General features: G+C 39.0%; 1 protein-coding gene and 1 long non-coding RNA gene across 8 annotated transcripts in view, besides 8 other annotated features; one reads left to right on the forward strand and one right to left on the reverse strand.

Moving 5' to 3' along the window:
• The window catches only part of RNF145 (ring finger protein 145), a 52,645-nt gene extending 32,372 nt beyond the window's left edge, over nucleotides 1-20,273 (reverse strand). The window contains exons 1-3 of one of the 7 annotated variants that reach the window (NM_001199380.2): nucleotides 20,073-20,273; nucleotides 13,654-13,876; nucleotides 4,936-5,044 (exon numbers count right to left, since the gene is read on the reverse strand). In NM_001199380.2, the coding sequence (NP_001186309.1) occupies nucleotides 4,936-5,044; nucleotides 13,654-13,876; nucleotides 20,073-20,123 (383 nt within the window). In that variant the 5' untranslated portion in view covers nucleotides 20,124-20,273. Of the gene's footprint in view, nucleotides 1-4,935; nucleotides 5,045-13,653; nucleotides 13,877-17,694; nucleotides 17,869-17,974; nucleotides 18,047-18,104; nucleotides 18,294-18,565; nucleotides 19,359-19,450; nucleotides 19,774-20,072 lie in introns of those variants that run through there. The other 6 variants (NM_001199383.2, XM_017009138.3, XM_024454383.2 and 3 more) reach the window with 6 other exon arrangements.
• Nucleotides 17,884-18,539: an enhancer, noted in NCBI's record as "H3K27ac hESC enhancer chr5:158634672-158635327 (GRCh37/hg19 assembly coordinates)". NCBI's record gives its function as "activates a minimal SCP1, AML or CMV promoter by ChIP-STARR-seq in primed H9 embryonic stem cells {active_cell/tissue: H9 hESC(primed)}" and the evidence as "EXISTENCE:reporter gene assay evidence [ECO:0000049][PMID:30033119]".
• Nucleotides 17,884-18,558: a biological region, named in NCBI's record as "H3K27ac hESC enhancer GRCh37_chr5:158634672-158635327".
• Nucleotides 18,139-18,188: an enhancer, noted in NCBI's record as "active region_23541". NCBI's record gives its function as "activates an Ori minimal core promoter by ATAC-STARR-seq in GM12878 lymphoblastoid cells {active_cell/tissue: GM12878}" and the evidence as "EXISTENCE:reporter gene assay evidence [ECO:0000049][PMID:35858748]".
• LOC107986468 (uncharacterized) lies at nucleotides 18,247-20,372 on the forward strand. The gene is made up of 2 exons (XR_001742943.2): nucleotides 18,247-18,900; nucleotides 20,079-20,372. It is a non-coding gene; the product is annotated as an uncharacterized LOC107986468 (long non-coding RNA).
• Nucleotides 18,279-18,328: an enhancer, noted in NCBI's record as "active region_23542". NCBI's record gives its function as "activates an Ori minimal core promoter by ATAC-STARR-seq in GM12878 lymphoblastoid cells {active_cell/tissue: GM12878}" and the evidence as "EXISTENCE:reporter gene assay evidence [ECO:0000049][PMID:35858748]".
• Nucleotides 18,439-18,558: an enhancer, noted in NCBI's record as "active region_23543". NCBI's record gives its function as "activates an Ori minimal core promoter by ATAC-STARR-seq in GM12878 lymphoblastoid cells {active_cell/tissue: GM12878}" and the evidence as "EXISTENCE:reporter gene assay evidence [ECO:0000049][PMID:35858748]".
• Nucleotides 19,456-19,645: a silencer, noted in NCBI's record as "silent region_16569". NCBI's record gives its function as "represses an Ori minimal core promoter by ATAC-STARR-seq in GM12878 lymphoblastoid cells {active_cell/tissue: GM12878}" and the evidence as "EXISTENCE:reporter gene assay evidence [ECO:0000049][PMID:35858748]".
• Nucleotides 19,686-19,975: a silencer, noted in NCBI's record as "silent region_16570". NCBI's record gives its function as "represses an Ori minimal core promoter by ATAC-STARR-seq in GM12878 lymphoblastoid cells {active_cell/tissue: GM12878}" and the evidence as "EXISTENCE:reporter gene assay evidence [ECO:0000049][PMID:35858748]".
• Nucleotides 20,146-20,245: an enhancer, noted in NCBI's record as "active region_23544". NCBI's record gives its function as "activates an Ori minimal core promoter by ATAC-STARR-seq in GM12878 lymphoblastoid cells {active_cell/tissue: GM12878}" and the evidence as "EXISTENCE:reporter gene assay evidence [ECO:0000049][PMID:35858748]".
• Nucleotides 20,373-21,615: the final 1,243 nt, after the last annotated feature.

Below are 21,615 nucleotides of genomic sequence, written 5' to 3' on the forward strand. Positions count from 1 at the left end.
ACACATGCTGCAACATGCATGAATCTTGAAAACATGCTAAGTGAAATTCAGTGCATATAAAATATCCAGAACAGGTCAATAAAAAAAGACAGGTGATAGACTGACAGTTGCCAAGGGCTGGGGGCAGGGAGGGTGGTGGGAAATAGACAATGATTGCTAATGGGTATGAAGTTTCTTTCTGGGGTGATGAAAATCTAAAATAAATTTTGATGATGTTCTGCACAACTCTGTGAATGTACTACAAACCACTGAGCTGTATACATATATACAGCTTGTTCTGTCAAACAGGGTCTTGTTCTGTCACCAGGCTGGAGTGCAGTGGCACAATCCCAGCTCACTGTAGCCTCAACCTCCCAGGCTCAATCGATCCTCCACCTCAGCCTCCGAAGTAGCTGGGACTAAAAGTGCATGCCACCACACCCAGTTAATTTTTTGTAGAGAAGGGGTTTCACCATGTTGCCCAGGCTGGTCTCCAACTCTTGAGCTCAAGCAATCCGCCTGCCTTGGCCTCCCAAAATGCTGGGATTACAAGTGTGAGCCACCATACAAGGCCCTTGAGCTATATACTTTAATCAGGTATGTGACTATCTCGATAAAGTTGTTATTTAAAAAAAAATACCTGGGGCCAGGCACAGTGACTCATACCTGTAATCCCAAAGCTTTGGGAGGCTGAGGCAGGAGGATATCTTGAGGGCAGGAGTTCAAGATCAGTCTGGGCAACACAGCAAGAAACCCATCTCTACAAAAAAATATTTTTTTAATTAGCTAGGCATGGTGGCGTACACCTGTAGTCCCAGCTATTCAAGAGGCTGAGGTGGGAGAAGTGCTTGAGTTCAAGGCTACAGTGAGCAATGACTGCACCACTCCACTGCAACCTTGGTGACACAGTGACAACCATCTCAAAAAAAAAAAAAAAAAAAAAGATACTTGGTTATGAAGCTCCACAGAAATCTGAACCATTATTTTTTTAAAACTAAAACCTTCAACCTCAATGTCTTACAAATGTTACATATTCAAACATTGGTATTTATTAACTGTGATATGTTATGAATAATTCAAGGACAGCACATCTTTACTAGCCTTTTGTGAGATACTATCATATAGTATAAATTATACTAAGAGGAAAATATTAATACTAAAATATGCCATATCTTGAAATTCATTCATTTTATATCAAAACAAACTCCATGAGATGGCATTGTCTACAAAGGGGTATCCAATCTTTCGGTTTCCCTGAGCCTAACTGGAAGAAGAAGAACTGTCTTGGGCCACACATAAAACACACAATAGCTGATGAGCAAAAAAAAAAAAAAAAGGCAAAAAATATCTCATGTTTTAAGAAAGTTCACGAATTTTTGTTGGGCTGCATTCAAAGCCATCCTGGGCCACACGCAGCCCAGGAGTTGGACAAGCTTAGTCTACAATTTCAAAGAAGTAACTTGCTGAGGTAACATATTTACTAGGTAAGGAAACAATTTGTATCAAGTCTGATTCTAAAGTTAATTTTCCTTTCTACTAACCATGCTGCCTACCTAAGTGGAATGAACTAGATTGTGAAAACATGGATTCAAGTTAAAGTCTGGGATTGCCCTTCCTAGCTGTTTGCCTACTTCCTTTTTTTCATCTGTAAATCCCAAAGGAACATAAAAAAAATCAAAATGAAATAAGAATGGGAAGTATTTTTGCCTACTATAAAATTTTATTAAAACTTAATAAAATCCTATTATTGAGGCTGGACACGATGGTTCGTGCCTGTAATCTCAGCACTTTGGGAGGCCAAGGTGGGAAGATCACGAGGTCAGGAGTTCAAGACCAGCCTGGCCAACATGGTAAAACCCCATCTCTACTAAAAATACAAAAAATTAGCTGGGCATGGTGGCGCATGCCTGTAGTCCCAGCTACTCAGGAGGCTGAGGCAGGAGAATCACTTGAGCCTGGGAGGCAGAGGTTGCAGTGAGCCGAGATAAAATAAAAATAAATAAAACAAAATTCTATTATTTAAAATAAGCTTTAATTTCCTAGTTATGAAAATAAACTTGAAACATTAGAAAAAGTCATTTTCATAAACTGAAACTAAAAAGCTCAAAAAGCCACAAGGGTGGTCAGAAAAAATCCTTTCTTTACCTCTGAAACTACTTAGGTCCCCTTTTTCCTTATATACCAGAATCCTGACCTCTCTAGAAATGCCTGGATTGGTAATACAGTCAGCCCTCCATATTCACTGGGTTCCACATCTGTGGATTCAACCAACCAAGAATCGAAAATATTCAGAAAAAAAAAAAAACTGCAATTGGAGTAAACATGTACAGACTTTTTTTGTCATTTTTCCCTGAAGAATATAGTATAAAAACTATTTACATAGCATTTGCATTGTATTAGGTATTATAATAATCCAGAGATGAATTAAAGTACATGGAAGGGAGTGTGCAAAAGTTGCATGCAAATACTATCAGTATTTGAGCATCCACAGATTTTGGTATCCTCAGGAGGTCCTAGAATCAAACTCTCATGATACCAAGGGAGCATAGCACTGTAGATAAAAACAGAACTACATGGGTTTAGCCATCACTACACCACAAATGCAAATGGAAATGGAAAAACCATGAGAAAGGGCAGGCTCACAGTTTTTCACCCAGAATTGTAGCTATAATAAAAGCAACAATATTAAGAGGTCTACCTTCAACCTTGATATTTTCTTAATTAATCAACAAAATCCTATCAATTCTAAAAAGATATTATATGGCTATACATAAAATACCATGTAAAAATCATTTTTTAAAGATTAACAATGAGAAAATGCTCACAAAACATTGCTATGTGATAAAAACAAGACAAAAGAATTCACCAAGTACTCACTATGTCAGAAACTGTGGTAAGAGCTTTATATACCTTATCTTATTTGATCTTACAACAGCCCCTTAAGATATTTTATTACCACTTTAATGTGAAAAAACTAAGGCTTATCCTTCTGGGAAATGACACCCAAGGTTATGGAGCAGTAAATAAAAAACCTGGAATTTGAACCTATCCAAACCATCCATCTATCGAAAAATAAGTGCCCAGGCACTCATTTATAAAATAGAACAGTTACTCCAGAGCTCAGTATACCCTAATGACTGCATTACACTCTATAGATACAATTTTTGTTTACAAAAGAGTAAGCAAAGATGGGAAAGTGTCTCCATCCTCAGCCTGAGCTGAGACTCAGAGGTATCGGGGTAAGGCCACAGGAACAGAGGTGTGGGGGCTGGTGGTACTAGGATGAGAAACGCATCATGTCTGTATCAGTATTGGTGCTTGGACTCCTAGTTTGGCTCTATGGAGAGGGATGCTACAGGACAAGGTCTAAGTTGTTTTCATGAAGGAGTCTAAGACACAGTGACATACTTCTGTCATGCAAAACGGGGAATGTCACTGTCTCCATTCTTGAAGGGAACACAGCTTGATTTAAACATTGTGAGGATTGCAAGAAATGCAACACTACTCTGCCAGCTCCAGATTTTGCAACTTTGACATCAGAGGACCTACCCTGGGCAGGATGGTGGCAGAAGTTAAAGAGTAAGACACCATCCTCCAGGCACCATTTTGAGCATAGAAAATCAACCAGGAAGGAATAAAGGAGGAAAATGCAAGAAGAGTAAGCTTCTGGGAAACACCCTGGGACTTTGAGAAACAATTAGACAAAACATTAAAGAGAATTGGTGGTCCTGTTTCAACAAGAGGGGTGAAAAACCCAGTGATTTTAGTTATTCTCATCCTTTCATATCCACAGAAGTGGTGAGAATTGAACAGTATTTTAAAAACTGAAATAAAGTACCAGAATATTAACACATCTATCTCTGGGTGGTATAATTTCAAACGATTATTAAATGCCTTTACATTTTCTGTATTTTCCAAAAATTGTCCATAGTGAGCACCATAATTTTATAATCAGAAAAAGTTAATGTTTTTAAAAACTCAACAATGTAATTCTAATAATGTAAAAATGCTACTTCTAAGATTAAATTTCAACTACCCCAAAATCTGTTTCAGACTCTTATTATGGCTTGTACTATATGCAAGGTCACTCCTCTTAGAATTGGGAATATATTTTAATATGGTAAATGCCTTTCTATCAAAAATCATAAAATTTAAGTTTCAAAAGAAATTATACCTCCAAAATATATTCCAACCCACTACTTCATAGTGTAACTTTTGGTCCACCTATATTTTAACATTCTGTTGCAAAGTAGAAAGCTCATATTCATTGGCAGACCCAAGTCTTAAAATTTAGATCTAGCAGACTTAGGTACACAGACAATATGGCTAAAGAGATAGAAGGTTAGCTATACAATCAACCTTACAAGATAATGTATATCAATCATTCACTCCACATGGCTGCATCTTATGCTGATTCTTACACATCATAAATTGATTTCCTAAAGTAATGAAGTCTATAATTGTTAAAATGCTCCTACAGCCTACTTTTAGAAATTCTTTTATCAGGCAATACAGGAAAGTTCAAGGATATCCTCCCGAGTAGATGGGATTACAGGCGCCCGCCACCATGCCCGGCTAATTTTTGTATTTTTAGTAGAGACGAGGTTTCACCATGTTGGCCAGGCTGGTCCCGAACTCCTGACCTGAGGTGATCCACCCGCCTCCCAAAGCGCTGGGATTACAGGTGTGAGCCACCACGCCCAGCCAGTTCAAGGATATCTTTATAAACATAACCTTAAGGCTTGTTTCATGTTAAGCTTGTTTTTAAAAGCAGAAATAAAATGTCAGCATAAACCAGCTATTAATCCTGTGTAAGATTTGGAAAATGAGTATCAAACCAGTTTTGGACCTACCAAAGCCTTAGCTTTACTTAACAGTGTTCATGAAAAGTATTTTATTGGCAAAAGAAAACTTTAAATTCAATCATACATTTCAAAAATGGGGTCATATTCTTACCTGGAAATTTGATGTCCAGCATAGAGGAGCAGAGCAGTCAAAAAATATAGATAAAGCTGAACCAGATGCTGCCTGGGCAATGTTAGCAGCACCACACTTAAGATATAACCTGTACCAGAAAGATAAATAAAATACAATTTTAATTTAGTTTCCCAATTAATTACAATAAAAGAAAGAGCTTGAGACAAATAATTTTCCAAATAGGTTTCAGTACTTTCTGAGGTTTTTTATTATACTTACCAAAGTAAGTTTAGCATAGTGACACCCCTATGGATTTTTTGTTGTTGAAAATGTATTGTGTTTTTCACTTCTTTTGTAGATTTCTCTACCTAATAATCAAATATATCACACAAATGTGTAACACAACTCCTTTCTTCATCTACCTTTCCTTGATATCAACTTACTTGTTTTATGCCAATTCTCTCTTTCTTTCTAGTCCCAGAGGAAAAACTGGGTGTCTTAATGTCTCTTTCCAAGGCTGCCCCTTCCATGTGATTTAAGACCTTATTTCTCCAACCCCTGAAGACTCTCTATCTCCTATACTTTCAGTCGTTCCCCCTGACATCACTCCTTACCTTTGTTTCAAAGAATGTGCAGGGCTTTTACCCATCTTGAGAAAAAAAAAATAAACTTCTTTTCACTGCGATTTTTTTCCTATTATTTTTCTCATTCCACTGTCAAATGTTTGAAAAGATCTATACCCAATGCCTCTATTTTCTAAGCATCTATTCTTCTCTTTACCATCTACAATCCCTTTACAAACCCCCCTAACTTGTTTGCTCTAAAGAAAGTTGGAAGTCAACGACTGCCTACTTATCACATCTAAGACATCCTGCTTATTTTTGATCCCCAATATCCAGGCAACGACCATCAAAACGTTGTTACTCTTTGGCTCTGTTCATATGGATTTCCTCTTACCCTCTAACTTCTCTAATTTCTTTTCACGCTTTCCAATAAACACTGGAAATTTGGTTCCTAAACAACTGTTTTTCTCTATATATAAAGTACCTAGTGCAAACAACATATTTTGTAACTTCAAGTATCAGCATCTCTTCTATAAATGTTATCAACAAAGTTACTGATAACTTATTATACAGGCAAAAACATATCCTCATTTCTTAATCTAAGTAGACATCCCATCTCATGACACCTGAGATATATTCCACTTAAATGTTCTCATATTCAACAAGTACAAACTGTGCTCCCCACCTCCTCCCTCAACAAAGTAACTCAGTGACTCAAAACCTGTCATCTTTTCTCTCTTATCGTCAAGTCCTGCTGAGCCTTCCATGATAAATTCCTCTCATGTGTTACCCTTCCATTCCAACCTCTATGTCCCATATCCTAATCTGCTCTGCAATGCACAGTATACTACCATCCTTCTTTCAGTCTCTATTTTTGTATACCCTATACTTCAAGCTTGTCCAACCCACGGCCCATGGGCTACATGTGGCCCAGGATGGCTTTGAATACAGCCCAACACAAATTCATAAACTTTCTTAAAATATTATGAGTTTTTTTTTTTTTTTTTGCAATTTTAAGCTCATCAGCTATCACTAGTGTTAGCATATTTTATGTGTGGCCCAAGACAATTATTTTCCTAATGTGGTCCAGGGAAGCCAAAAGATTGGACACCCTGATATACTTAATTACCAGGGTAATATTCCTAACACCATCACTTTTACTTGACAATTCTCCTGCTCTAAAAGTTATGAACCTGACATTCTTGGTCTTACACAATCTGGACCCAGTCTACTCTTCTATAACCATCTTCCACTTAATTTACAAATCTTTATTAAGGCACAGGTACTCCTACTTATCCCCTATTGCCTCTCTCATGCTGAATCAATCATGCCAAAAGCTAAGAAAACATGAGCATGCTTGGGACTAAAGAAACAGAACTGAGGATTTCCTACACATCCTAACTGCAAGGACAGTCCATCAAAAGCCAGAGATAAGTATTTTTATTTGCTCTTTATTTCTTAAAATAATTTCCCCAATTTTGTTAACCCCTACCTCAAATGACTTTAGAGGTATTTTAAAGGATATGTAATATAGTTACTAAGCATTTCCACTGATTGTAGCTGAAGGATTTTCTAATGTCTATTACATGAAACTTCTCCTTAAACTCTCTTTTAACGAAACTGTCATTTTCCTTTCCAGAACGGTCTTGTCTTTTCTTTCTCCTATATATCGCATATAAAATCAGCGGCCAAATCTTCTAGATCAAACATATTCATTTCATCCATTCCTTCAATTATCCAGTCATTCAATCAACATTATTATGTGTAAAGTATGACCCACTTGCATTCCTAGACATGGAAGATCCAAAATTAATGTGAATAATAATCTAGTGAAAAGATAAGCATGGACAAAAGTAATTATTAGACAAAATTGATGCTATAATAAATGAACATTGGAAGGGCTATGGTTAAGTGATTAAGCTTGACTTGGATCTCTAAAGGTGAATGGTTCTTTACCAGGCTAAGAAGAAAAGGAAACATTCTAGGAAAAGAGAACAGCAAGCATGAAAACCATAAAAGTGTAATTTTCAGGGGACAGTAAATTCTGTACGTTAGACTAGACTTTGATGTTAACAGAAAGATTGGGAGATGATGCTGAAAGAACTAGCAGCTAAAGCCTCAATATAAAGCCTAAATACAATAATCAAGAATTTAGACTTAGCTAATGGTTCTCAAATTCTTCAATATCTATTTAGGTGAGGTAAGAGAACAGAAACCAAAACAACAAAAGCACCATTGCTCATCTATACCCCATTTTTATATTCCAGTGGAAAAGTAACTCTGTGATAACAAAATATTTGTGTAAGAAAACTTTGAGAGACAATGAATACTAACTATGAGAGCAGTATGAATGAACCATCTGAACTACGATGTATATATAATCTAACAATTTAAAAAATGCAAGCCAAAAATACTATTGACACAAACATGCATCACAACTCACTCTACAGCATTAACCAAACAATCCATAACAAACTAAGTTGACAATGGCAAAGCTGTTAGTTTTTAAATTATACACAGTAATTTGTAATTAAAAAGCAAGACCAGTGGCATTTAAAAATGATGACCTAGGCCAGGTGTAGTAGTGCACACCTATAATCCCAGCTACTCGGGAGGCTGGGGTGGGAGGATCCCTTGAGCCCAAGAATTCAAGGTTACAGTGAGGTTATGATTGCCAGTCTGGGTGACAGAGCATGACCCTGTCTCTATAAAAAATAAGGGTTGGATGTGTTGGCTCACATCTGTAATCCCAGCACTTTGGGAGGCCAAAGCAGAAGATCACTTGAGCTTAGGAGTTCGAGACCAGCCTGGGTAACACGGCAAATTCCTGTCTCTACAAAAAAATACAAAAAATTAGCCAGGTGTGGTGGCACACAACTGTGGTCCCACCTACTGAGGAGGCTGAGGTGGGAGGATCACACGAGCCCAGAAGGTTGATGCTGCAGTGAGCTAAGATTGTACCACTGCACTCCAATCTGGGCGACAGTGAGACTCTATCTCTAAATAAATAAATAAATAAATAAATAAATAAATAAATAAAAGAAATAATGACCTACGGGAACAGACTCTGAGAACAGAAAAAATAAAAAATAAATCAAAATGATGACCTGCTTAAAACAACACTGATGAATCTAATAATTTCTGCTATTTAAACATTATGGTAGTTGTAGGGTAAACAGCAGGACCAGAGGTAAGATGAGAGCCTGGATTGTAACAGTAGCTTTGGGTATGGAGCTGCCAGTCAGCCATGAGATACATATTTAAATAGGTCTTAGTGGTTATCTGTGGGTGACTAGTTGAGAACAAGGAAGTGAAGATCTGATGTTTCTAGCTTGGGTAATCAAGAAGACAGCTTTGCTATTAAGACAGGAAACACAGCAGGAGAAAGACTTCTGAGGTGAGAAAAAGGTGATGAGTTCAGTGATTGACAACAAATTGAAATGTCCATAGGCTATTTAGGTGGAAATGTCTAAGAAGTAATTCAAAATGCATTCATTCAGGGCTGGGCACAGTGGCTAATATCTGTAATCCTAGCACTCTTGGAGGCTGAGGCAGGAGGATCACTTTAGGCCAGGAGTTTGAGACCAGTCTGGGTAACAAAACAAGACCTTGGTATATGCCTGTAGTACCAGCTACTCCAGCAGCTAAGGGTTACTTGAGCCCAGGAGTCTGAGACTGCAGTGAGCCATGATCACACCACTGCACTCCAACCTGCGCAAGAGTGAGACCCTGTCACGTACATACATACATATATATAAAATTCATTCATTATTGGGCACCAGCTAGGTGCTGGGAATACTGAGATAATAAACAACCCCCTTCTTACCTTAAAGGAGCTCACAATCTATTAACAGTTGGGAAAATAGATAAGCATATGGACCCTTAGAATGCAACATAATAATTGCTATGGTAGAGATGTGAACTGGTTCCATGGAATCACAGAGGAAGAACATCAACTCCAGACTACAGTGGTCAAAAAGCAATGTAAAGTGGAGACAGAGATCTGCAGCCCAAACTACGTTCGGTCACCCAAACAACAAAAGATTAAAATTAAACACAAATTGTGGGCAATATCAACACTTGAGAAGTCTAAAGAAAACAAATCAAAAGAATCAGAAGCAATGGTCAGGGAGTTAGGAGAAAAATCAGGAAAAAAAAAAAAAACACTTTCAAGAAAGAGGAAGTGGTAAACAGCTCCATAAACATAGAAAAGTCTGTAGAATTAGGACATAAATGAGGGTTGAATTTTACATTTTAAGTCACTAATGATTTTAGTGATGGTAGTTTCAAAAGGATTTTCGCATCCATTTCTTCCTTTCTAATTTCTACCTTGCCAGTTCTGGCTCTCATTACCTCTTGCCTAAAATCCTAACTGGTCTTCTTACCTCCAGTTTCTCCCCTCCCCAATCCATCATCCTATAAAACGCTGCCTAATCAATCTTAAAATGCAGCTCACCTGCTCTAAAATCCCCACTGACCCACCACGACCTATAGAATTAAGCACCATATCTACTGTATGTATTCAGGATTCTTCACAAAAGCCCTATTCTACCTTACCAATATTACTTCTACTCCTCCTTTCATATCCTACACTCCAAAAAACAGTGGGCAGTCACTTCTCTTTCAGCAGAACCCACCCTGGAAAGCTTCTAAGTTTGAAGACACAATTACATTCCATTAAATACAAACTTTATTGCTCCCTCCCTTAATTTTTAAGCTCCTTAATTACAATTAGAAGACATAAAGGGGGAAAAACTCCCACTTACGATAGCAATAAAAAAGATAAAATACCTAGAAACAATAAATGTCAGGAGGCTGCGGCAGGAGGATCACTTGAGCCCAGGAGTTCCAGGCCAGCCTGGGCAACACAGCAAGAACCCATCCTCCCCACCTGCCCCCAAAATTAGTAATAATGCAATCTAAATTTTAAAAAAAATCAAATGGGTTGCTTTGTTTTTGGAATGAGACCTAGACAATTTTGAGACAATTCTTAAATTCACATAGAAAACTAACCATAAAAAAAAAGCTCAGAGGAGGAAATAAAGAAAACTGAAGGGACTAACCCTGTTAGACAGTAAAATATAATCTAAACCCTCAACAAATAAGACAGCGTGTTAATAGTTCACAAACAGGCAGACAGACTAAAGGAAGAGAAGTTCAAAAATGAAACAAAATATATGTGAGAATTCAGTATATAATGAGAAAAAAATGGACTAAATAGGTGAGGATGACTGTGTGGTTATCTAGAAAAAATAAAATTATACCTATAACACACTATTCATACAGATAAATGAAGCAAAGATTTAAATGTAAAAATAAACCCACAAAAATAGTAAGATAAAATACAACAGAATTCTTTATAAACTCAAGAATAAAGAAGGCTTTTCTAATTGACTCAAAATACTAAAGCTTAAAAACCTTCTAAATGTCAAAAAATCATAAGCAAAATCACTGAGTTGAAACTGGAAAAACTATTTTCAACTTATCACAAAGGATTAATTTCCCTAATGTATACCAAATTCCCACAAATTGGTAAAAAAAGAATCTCACAGAAAAGTGGGCAGGGTATATAAACTGACAACTCTCAGAAGAGAAAATACAGGTTTTTCTTAAGTATGTGTATGTTCAATTCATTCATAATAGAAATGCAAACTAAAACTACATTGAGTTAAAAAAATCAATTTTTCCACCTATTGGAGTAGCCAAAATATTTGTGGTAACAGGCTGTTTTGATAATATAGGATTGTAGGAACTCTCAACCACGGTTTTTGGAGGTACAAAATAGTAAAACCCTATGGAAAGTACTATCTGTCAACACTACAAATATATATAAGTTAACCCTTGAACAACATAGGATGGAACTGTGAGGGTCCACTTACATGTAGATTTTTTACAACCAAACTCTTATGGAATACAGTATTTGCAACATGCAAAACCCACGTATACAGAGGGCCAACCTTCTGCATACATAGTTCCACAGGGTCACTTGAGGGACCTGAGTATGCGCAGATTTTGGTATACGTGGGCATCCTGGAACCAACTTCCAGCATACACCGACGGACCACTGTACTCTTTAACCCAGCAACTTCGCTTCTAGTAACTTAGCCCCAGGTTATATTTGTACTTGTTGAAATTATAGCTATACAAAGTTATTTAGCACAACGCTGTACAAAATAGCAGAAGGTAGGCTATCTAAAATGTCCACCAATGGAGTAATTAGTTCAATAAATTATGGTATATCCATACGAAGATACTATGCCAACGTAAAATGCAATCGGGAAGAGGAGAAATGAGGCCTCGATATCTACTCAAGAGAGTCTTTAAGATCCGGCAGACTGTCATCATAAGAAAAAGAGCACAAAACTCTATTTCATAAATATCTAAAAGCAGTAGTTATGGCTCCACATACATCACAAACAAAAACCATGATTCAAAACCATGTATACCATGCTAACATCTGTATAAAAAGGGGGGAAATATACATTTTTTATATTTACTTATATATACATAAAAATATCTCTAGAATTATACAGAAAGAAATAAAAGCTACATGGTGTTCAGAGTGAGAACTCAGCGAATGAGTAACAGAGATGGGAGGGAGATACTTTTCATTAAATACTTTTTATGCTTTTTTATTTCTGAATGTAGATACATTATTTTATTAAGGTGAAATTTGATTTGTATTTGAGGGTGAAATTCTGTAAACAGGAGCATTACATAAACACTATGTAATATTTTGACAAAGGTAACTCCAACCAAAACATTGTTCAAGCTGAAAATATCTGTTCATGCAACCACTGAGCTTACTCTACTTTGGCATGGAGTAAGCATATTTAAGATGGCTCAACTAACTTTATAAAATTATAAACCAGATTATGAACTTCAATTGTACTCGAAAACATTCAATTTCTAAAATTAATATTCCTGGTTATCAGGCAGCTGTTTTTATAATAAATATTTCAACCTATTCAGAAACAATATATAAGCACATTTTTAAAACCACAGTATGTATGACTTTGCTGATTAATCTAAAAATCTAAGCCAAGTACCCAGTTGTTCTACAACTGACGGGAATTACTTTCCATAAATTGGCTAACATACAAAGCCTTTCATAAAAGGCTGAGAATTACAGTGTTTTGCAACATAAAGGAACTTTCCCATTTCAGAGACATTCCCAAGGTAGTGCTATCCACAAAAGATGAGTTTACTGAACCGAAACGTTTTGTTTCTAGTGCACCATCTCTTCTACTACATCATACTTCTTTCCACAACAGCTTACCTCTTAGGGATGTAAGGGGAACGTTCTCAGGGCTAAGTTTTAGAACCCAGAAAGTGATAAAAATAAATCTCAGAGAGACAGGACAACTCTTCATGACTTTATAAAAGATATATTTTGTGACAGGCAACTCTAATAATAAAATATTAGCAAAACCACTATAGTACCATTCAAACCATGTCTGGAACTCTGCAATCACAACATTAATAAAATATATTGCTATATACATTACAAATAAACCAAAACCTAAAAAGTAAGGATCATGATTTTTATTCTAGGTAAATTTTATCTGTTTCATGCTTGTATTTCTTGACTTTAATTTCTTCAATCTCTTATCATTATTTTTACCACTAACCCCATAGCATATCAATGATAGTTCCATTTTTCTTGAAAGGGGATTCAAGCAAAAAAAAAAAAAATTATAGTTCCAGGAGGATTTTTTTTATGGAACAAAGTATTATAGTATCATTTCCCAAATTTCATTTAACTGAACACTTTATCTTCAGCTGATGTTAATGTTTTCGTTTATCTCAGGGAACAATAAAGAATGTTGCATTTTAAAAAGCTTACTTTCTGAATTACTACCAAACCCCAAAACAAGGACAAATTAGAAGGGGCCAAATGTCTCTAAAAGTATTTCTCATTGTTTATATTTCATCATATTAAAATCTAGAATGTTTTCTTCTGCCTTCCAGTTTTATCCAGTAAAATAAATCCAATACTGCTTACTTTCTTGTAGCCTTAATAATTCATGTGCAATGATAAGACAAAACTATCAAGATTCATAAACACTCATCAATAACTATATCACTATCATCTTAATGAAAATGAACTTCATTTTACCCAAATTCAAAAAGATACTAAGACATAAATCAGAATGCTCACTAGAAGATTAGAAAATGTGATGTAGACACTCACCTACATAATGCATATTAAGAGCCAAATACTTATACTGGAAAAGAGGGTTATTACTAAGGCTACTTCTTTGGATCTGCTGGAAAAAGGAGCTGACATCCCATCTGTACAGGACATCCAACAGCATGATGCTTGGCACCCTCAGGGCCACATTTAACACTGCCTCCAGTTTCTCCTTTGCAGCCATGTTGTTTTTTTTTTTCTTTTTTTTTTTCTTGGAGAAGACCTAAAATTCAGAAGACACAATATATAAAAATAAAAAGTCAACACAAATCGCTTTTAGATACCCTTTCACGAATCTAATAGGTTGTCACACACTGTACAAAACTATGTGAGAACGTATACTACTTCTCAGCCACAACTACTATTTTTAGATATTCATAAAATAACCTCTGTATTGTGTTTTCACATTGACCCATTCAGTTCTGTCCAATCTTATAATTCTGATTAAATGTTCTGGCCTCAAAACTAATTTTTTAAAAGGCCACTAACTCCAAATCTAGGAACAAAACACTCTGTAAGACTACTGTAACTTGTATAAAATTAACTTGAAAAATTCACTCACTCCAATAAAACTATGATTTATGTAGCTCATAAGAGGGTGAATTTTGAATATTTACTCTATGAAAAAGCCTAAGCAATTCAATAAAAACTTGATAACTGCACGTTTAGTTTGCAGCATCTTGTACTCTATGCTTTTCCTTATTCACTTACAATCAAAATTGAAGTGCTAAATTTACAATCCAGAGAACTCATGATGTAGATACAGGTAGAGGGAACATTATTTACAATATCATTTCCTTGAATCTTTAAAGTTAAATATGGTCTAAAATTCCCATAATCTGCCTTCAAGTGTTCATCAAATTCTTCCCTTGATACACAGATAAGCAGGCACATGGAAGACGCCAGGCATTGAGTCTGCAGCCCCTGTCTCTGCACAGACCATGATAAGTAGTGGGGGGGGGCAGGGGGAGGAGGAAATGAAAGGCAGTTATCAGGACAATTTACTATTTAAAGGGACAATTCAATGCCATACTGCTTTATATGGTAGAACTTCAAATTAATCCAAAAAAATATAAAATAGGGCAAACAAGGCCGGGCGCAGTGGCACACGCCTGTAATCCCAGCACTTTGGGAAGCCGAAGCAGGCAGATCATGAGGTCACGAGTTCGAGACCAGCCTAGCCAATATGGTGAAACTCCGTCTGTACTAAAAATACAAAAATTAGCCGGGCATGGTGGTGCACACCTGTAGTCCCAGCTACTCAGGAGGCTAGGGCAGAAGAATTGCTTGAACCTGGGATGCAGAGGTTGCAGTGAGCAGAGATCACAATACTGCACTCCAGCCTAGGCAACTGAGCTAGACTCCGTCTCAAAAAAAAAAAAAAAAAAAAAAAAGCAAACAAAAGTGGGTAAAGAACAATTTAAAGAGTAAAGATAATTCTGGATTGTTGGCTCTGACAATATCCTTTTAAGAATTTTGCTGAGAAAGCTAAACACATTTCCAGCTTTAGCAGTAATTTCAGACATTACAGGACAAACGAAAACATTTATTTCTGCAGAAAATTATAGTGACAGATTGCTATGCTATGGTTAAATATTTGTCAGTATTTCCATCTTACCCTCCAATTTTCATAGCTTCCTAGTTCAGATAGTCAAAAAGCTAAAGGCAACCCAACTTGGCACACTATCAATAAAAGCTTTTCAATAATCATATATCAACCATTCCCATAACCCAAATGTTTTATATATATAGCCTGCCAATAATATAGATTTAACATTTTTATAGATAAGTACTGCAATTCTGATTATTTCACATGAACAAGATCATTTTCATAATTTTCCTACATAAGAAAAAATATTATTGTGAAAATCAGAACTAAATATCATGTCCTAAGAAGGAAAAATGCACTGAAAAATAAAATCTCTAACCTTTAATATTTATTGCAAACCAACCACTGAGGAATCTAAATTTCTCAAAGCCCATGATATTATTATTTTTTCTAATCCCAGGAAAAAATACACCAAAACATTCACAGAAATTGTTGGTAAAGAGTTTAATGCATTTTAATGTGTATAAGCCATCTAGATAACTTCAGGAATTACAGTGGAAAGACTTACTTTGGTGAGCAAACTGATAACCCAATACCCTCTTGGGAATTTATTTCAAAGTAATATTGAATAGATCTTCTCACAAACCACCAGCCACCATATTTGAAAATCACCACGTACTGAGATGACAGTATTACTGACAGTCTTTATACTGCCATCGAAAAGTAACTATTTTTCTATATTCTGGAATCCAATATAAATCATTACTCTGTTTTTATAAGTAACAAGAGAGGGAGGAGCTATTACTGATTTAACACTTGTAGCCCATATTTATTTCATTTGATTTGGAACCTTTCTCTTTTTTCAATGCTTTGCTATTTTAAAATGTGCCCATTTTCACCATTTACTGTGGCTCCTAAACGGGTAAAGAAGAAAATTTAAACTAAACAAATAACTAATCCTGCTTTAGAAATCAAGATCTGCTAGGGAAGAAAAACTCCCTAATCCGTACAGAGGATCATCTCTATTACAAAAGTCCATTAGCAGAATGGTACATGTTCCCTCTTTATTTCCACCCACCACTCCTGCCTAACAAATATAATAAGAAACAGAAAACAGGACACATTTCTATTTCTATAAAGAGAAAATACCGGGTCCCGAAAGCTGTCAATAAAAAACAATATCCAAGATCCCCCTCTACTACATAGTCAACTCGAGACTGAAATGTTTTTAACAAGGACTTTGGATAGAATTAAATACGCCCAAATAAACGAAACTAAATGTTGCATTTATTTCTATACGTGAATGTTATTTTAGCAAGTCAGTGGCAAGCTGGTCATGTATAAAGGCACTGACGAAACAAATTTAATACATGGAAAATCAAAGAGAAAAAAATTTCAAAACCTTATCACTTTGAACCCTTCTAAAGTAAAAGAGCACATGATAGTTATCAATACAAATAGGTACTTTACACTACACTTTAGCACCACACACTAAACCAACATCAAAACAAAACTTTAAAATATTCATCTTCTTTGCAAGTACTTGCAATTACTCACACCTGCCAAATCACTATATCATACAAACACGAAGTAAAATGGAGCCTTCTCTCCTGATCTAGAGAATACCTTTATAATGTTGCCTAATTTATCCTGTTCCAGATTTATTGTCAAACAGGGCTAATCAGCATATCCTAAAGTACAGGGGAGCTCAATATTCTCTTGAAAACAAAATAATACCAAATAATCCTAGAAAATAAGCAGGAGAGCTGAAAGCAGAAAAAACCGAAAGGTTTAACACACCCAAAGCCAAATACATAAACTTCCTATACTGTTTTATCTTCCATGCAAGATTTTAAAATGTCCTCCTTGAACTTTGAAAAGAACTGGGAAAGTAATATCCAACATGATGTGTCTGCAGGTAACATAAACTAAATGTGACTCAAAGATGTTTTACACAGTAAAACAGCTAAAAACAAACCAAAAAAAAAAAAGGCATTTCTTTCCAAAAACCACAAGAGGTGCAACAAATGCTAACCAAAAAGGAGACCTCAATGAGTTCATTAAATGACCTTCTCAGGCTTAGAAGCAGCAATCCGTAATTATGAAAACAGTAATGTCTTGTAGAAGTATAATGCTGTACAGTTTACCATTCAAATTTGTGGGTTAGAAAACACAGGGGGCTTCATTCTACACTTTCCTGAAAATACGGGATTTTAGTTTTGAATATGAAGAAACCAAACAAATCGTCCTGAATAAGAAAAATGTAGGTTTTTACAGTCACAGCTAATCTCTGAAGAACTATGTCAAATAAGAGAAATGAAAAATGTGATTTTTTATTTCTCTTATTTGAGTTCTTCAAAAATACACCTCCTAAACTTTTTTTTAAAAAGACAAAGAAAAAACAAGAATGACACGTGACCCAACTTAAAACTATTCAGTACAATACTTCTACACCTTCCCCCTAAAAAAGAAAAACAAAAATCATCATTCACCATTATCTCCTTTCTTTCTCCCAACCAGTTAAAAAAAAAAATTCTACCATCAACTAAAACTGATCTTAAGAAAAGTAAATTTTCGGGCTGTCCATCGGTTAGGATGGTAGGCCTCACTGAAAATGTTAAGAGCACAAAGCTAGAGCCTAAAATTCTAAGTAAAAGCCCAGAACTGAGATACCAGGAAAGAGAACGCATTTCTTACATAAGCAATGGCACATGTTTTAAATATAGCTGGTCCTCCCCACTCCCACTCCTTGCTAGCTAACTTTGTATGTACCTGATCTCCACATAAACTACTAGCAATTCTGTGGTTTCTCATCATCTCCCAAACCGCAAAGACAGGGAGTCTACTCTGAATACAAAGGCCATCTTTCAACTTAAGGAACAGAGAGAGGAAATAAAACTGCTACCTCTGCCATCGGCCGCTCAGCCTGGGTCACGACTGCAGCACCGACAGCTCATTCTTTTGGGCATGATTCAAGATTCAGTAAAACTGCACACTCCGTATTTTAAAAAATAAAAAGACACACAGTCCTCTCCTTCCCTTTCAGACTAGTTTCCTCTTTACTGCAGACTGCGACGCAAGGCCATCCACTAATCTTTGATGCCTGCTCACTGCACAGGCCCCTTCCTCTCTCCCCGCACCTCCTCCCACAACGCCTGCAGATCTCAGATGCGTTTGAACTACAGTAACCCCAACCCAGCTCGCGGCAAGCAGGCAGCGCAGCAGCAGTAGCAGCAGCAACCGGGCCGCCGCCGCCGCGGGGCTAAGAGATTACGTTCAGCAAAAACTCTTCCAGGAAAGAGGCTCGAGAGCTCCCCTCCTATCTCGCCAAGGGTGCTGACTCTGTCGCGCCACGCCACGTACCAAAAGGCTCGCGAAGAAAAACGCGGGCGAAGTTCAGCATCCCCGAACAGAAAGGGAACTCATTCCAGAAAGGGGGTTCACGGGTCTGAGGGTCCTTGGGTGGGGAAAGCAGTATTGGAGGGAGAAGACAGAAGGGATGGCAAGACAGAGGAAACCACGGGGACAAAAAGGAAGGGATGAGGAGCCCTCTTACTATAAAAGGGACTGACGGACGGGATGCAGAGCAATGGGCCCCCCTCGAAAAATGGACTGGCAGGCCCTTCCGCACCCCCAAACAACCTCGCACCACCTGAAAGCGGGGAGCTTGAGTTTGGGGCTGCGTAGATCAAAGCAGGGTAAGACGAAGGGAAAGAGGGAGGGGAGCTTGGAAGCAAAGTGAACAAAGAGGCAAAAGAGGCAAAGTTGGAAATGGAAACGAGAAAGGGAGCTGGAAAGGGGCCGCTCTGGAAGGGTCTTGAAAAAGGCCTAGAAATGGGATGCTGGGGAGGCAAAGGGGGACAGCCCCGAGGAAGGGCATCTCAGGAATGTAAGGGAGCGCTCCAGGCCCTGGGAAGAGGAAGGGATGGGAGGGCGGGGAGGCAGCCGAGGCCCGGGAGCTGGAACAGAGGGGGCTTTGCGCGGGGCCCAGGAGGGGAGAGCAGGGTCGGAGGGAGGCGACCACCGCGGGAAGAGCTAGAGGATGGGAGGGAGGGGTGCTGCGGCTGAAGAGGGGATGTGGACTCCTCCAATGCTAGGGAGAAGAGGGAGGTGAAGCGAGATAAAAGGAAAGGGGCGAACAGGGAGAAGAGGAAGGAGCCTGCGACGCGATGGGGGAGGGGAGGGAGGCCGTGGGAAGCGGCCGGGGGGCGCGGGGATGGGAAGGGGCCGGGCGGGCGGCGTGGTCACCTCAGGCTGCGGACTCCCTCCCTGGGGAGCGGCGCTGCCGGCGGGCGGGCTCCGCAACTCCCCGGCTCTCTCGCCCGCCCTCCCGTTCTCCTCGGGCGGCGGCGGGGGCCGGTACGGCACGGCTCACAGCGGCGGCTCTTCTGCGCCGAGCCTCGGATGTTGCTTCTGGGGAGGCGGAGGCAGCGGCAGCGGCAGCGGCCCGGCCCGTACGGTCACCATCGTCCGCGGCAGCAGGCGCTCGCGGGCCGAGCCCCTTAGCAGCCGGCGCCGGCGTCGGCGGCCATGGCCTCCTGCGTTTGCTCCTCCCGCCCCCGGCGCTCTGCGGCGGCCGCGGCCCGACTTCCGCACTCTGCGCCTGCGCGCGGCCCAGCCAGCGCGGCGCGCCCCTCCCGCGCGCGCCCGCGCTCACTCACAATCGCGCCCGCGGAGTGCTTTCCGCACCGCCTCCGGTGCGTGGGCGGGAGACATAAGCCTAGCCAAGCCCATACAGCCCGGCTCGGGTGGCTATGGAGAGGCGTACTGCAGAGACACCTGGACGCGCACTGTGACAGGCGCCATTCTGACACACGTGCTCTCTCACTCCCAAACACCACGGGCCGCAAGCGCTCACACCCACACTCACCTGCAGGGACCACGTGGGAGAATTTGAAGGGCTGATCCTGTCCCGGTGCATTCGCAGTAGCAATGATGCGAGAATTCGTTTTAACCTCGTCACTGACTGGACTAGACTGTAAACTCCTTGGCGTCTGGGATGGCTCAGCCGTGCCCAGCACCAAGTGCAGGCACTCAAACCCCTGTGGAGTAAGTGACTGGATGAATGAATGCATTGGAACTGTTCACTGAGTATCTGTAACAATTTTGATCCCATGGTTTGGTACAAAGAATTTTATTGCAGTATGAAATTAAATGGTGTTTGTGTGTTTGTCTTGTCTTGGTCTAAGGTTCAAAACAGGCTAATGTATGTTTTCCCCTCCCCAACGTAGAGGAGTTCCACTTTGTCTCTGTGCCAGTCTCTATCACAGAATGCGCAATCCTACCCTAATTTAAATGTCCACACCTTTTAGGGCAGGAACTGTTGCCCAGAATACATAGCCTGAAGCATATTGTGTGTTTACACAACGATAGTCTTCTGGGCTTGGCAAGACTTCTCATTCCCCATTTGTCTGCCACTCTGCCTCACCACGACCTTCTGCAACCCCCACTTCTATCTCCCCTGCCTTCCACCATCACCAAAACCCCTCCACTGTTTCTTGCTTTCTCTTTCGTTAGTTCCTGGGGAGCCAGTTGCTATGAGCACCTAGCCTGGCCTTAGATGTTGAAAGGGCCAGTGTACACAGAAGATACACACCCAGTGATGGGTAAGATGTTGCAACTATACTGGGTCATGCTGAAATTGTGAAGCCTCAACTTCTTCATGTGCAAGAGAAATTAATGTACTGTAATCTCGATGTCTGTGTTGAGGACCCTCCTTGTAAATTCAAGTCTCTGGCCTCTGCCCTTTGAATGGTAAACCCCCAATTCTGAACACTCTTGTATCCTGCTGAAATTGTGAAAGCAAGCTCTGTATTTAGAAAATGCAATCCCTGGAGGTATCAGTCAACCAAACTCTGAGTAACTTGCCTTCCATTAGTTTGATAGCTCTGTAGGAATCAAGTGTTTAAAATGTGTGGGAATTGTGTACATAACTCACTATAACCACCTTTCATCCAGGTGCCTCAGACTACTTCACCATAGTCATAAATCCTGTCACATCCCAGTGATGCAGTTCATGAGTCTCTTAATCTAGCCTGGTAAGTAAAAAAATTACAGAGGTCACATGAATAATGACTGGAATAGGAAATGGACCAAGATAGCAAGGCCTTATCTTGATCCCCTCCCTGTTTTAACAACTTTACATCTGACTGAGTCAAGAAAACCTAAGGCCAGAAACAGATTACAAAGAAGTCAAAATGAACGTAACACTAAATTCTAACTTTATTTATTTATTATTCTTGGATAAATGGCAGAATCCTGAAAATGTGATTCTAAAAGGAAGTATGGTTGCTGGATTTGCGTGGTTTTTGTTTGTTTGTTTGTTTGTTTTTTGAGACGGAGTCCACTCTTGTTGCCCAGGCTGGAGTGCAGTGGCGTGATCTTGGCTCATCGCAACCTCCGCCTCCTGGGTT

This window comes from Homo sapiens, chromosome 5, assembly GCF_000001405.40.
Source record: "Homo sapiens chromosome 5, GRCh38.p14 Primary Assembly".
Classification (NCBI taxonomy): Eukaryota; Metazoa; Chordata; class Mammalia; order Primates; family Hominidae; genus Homo; species Homo sapiens.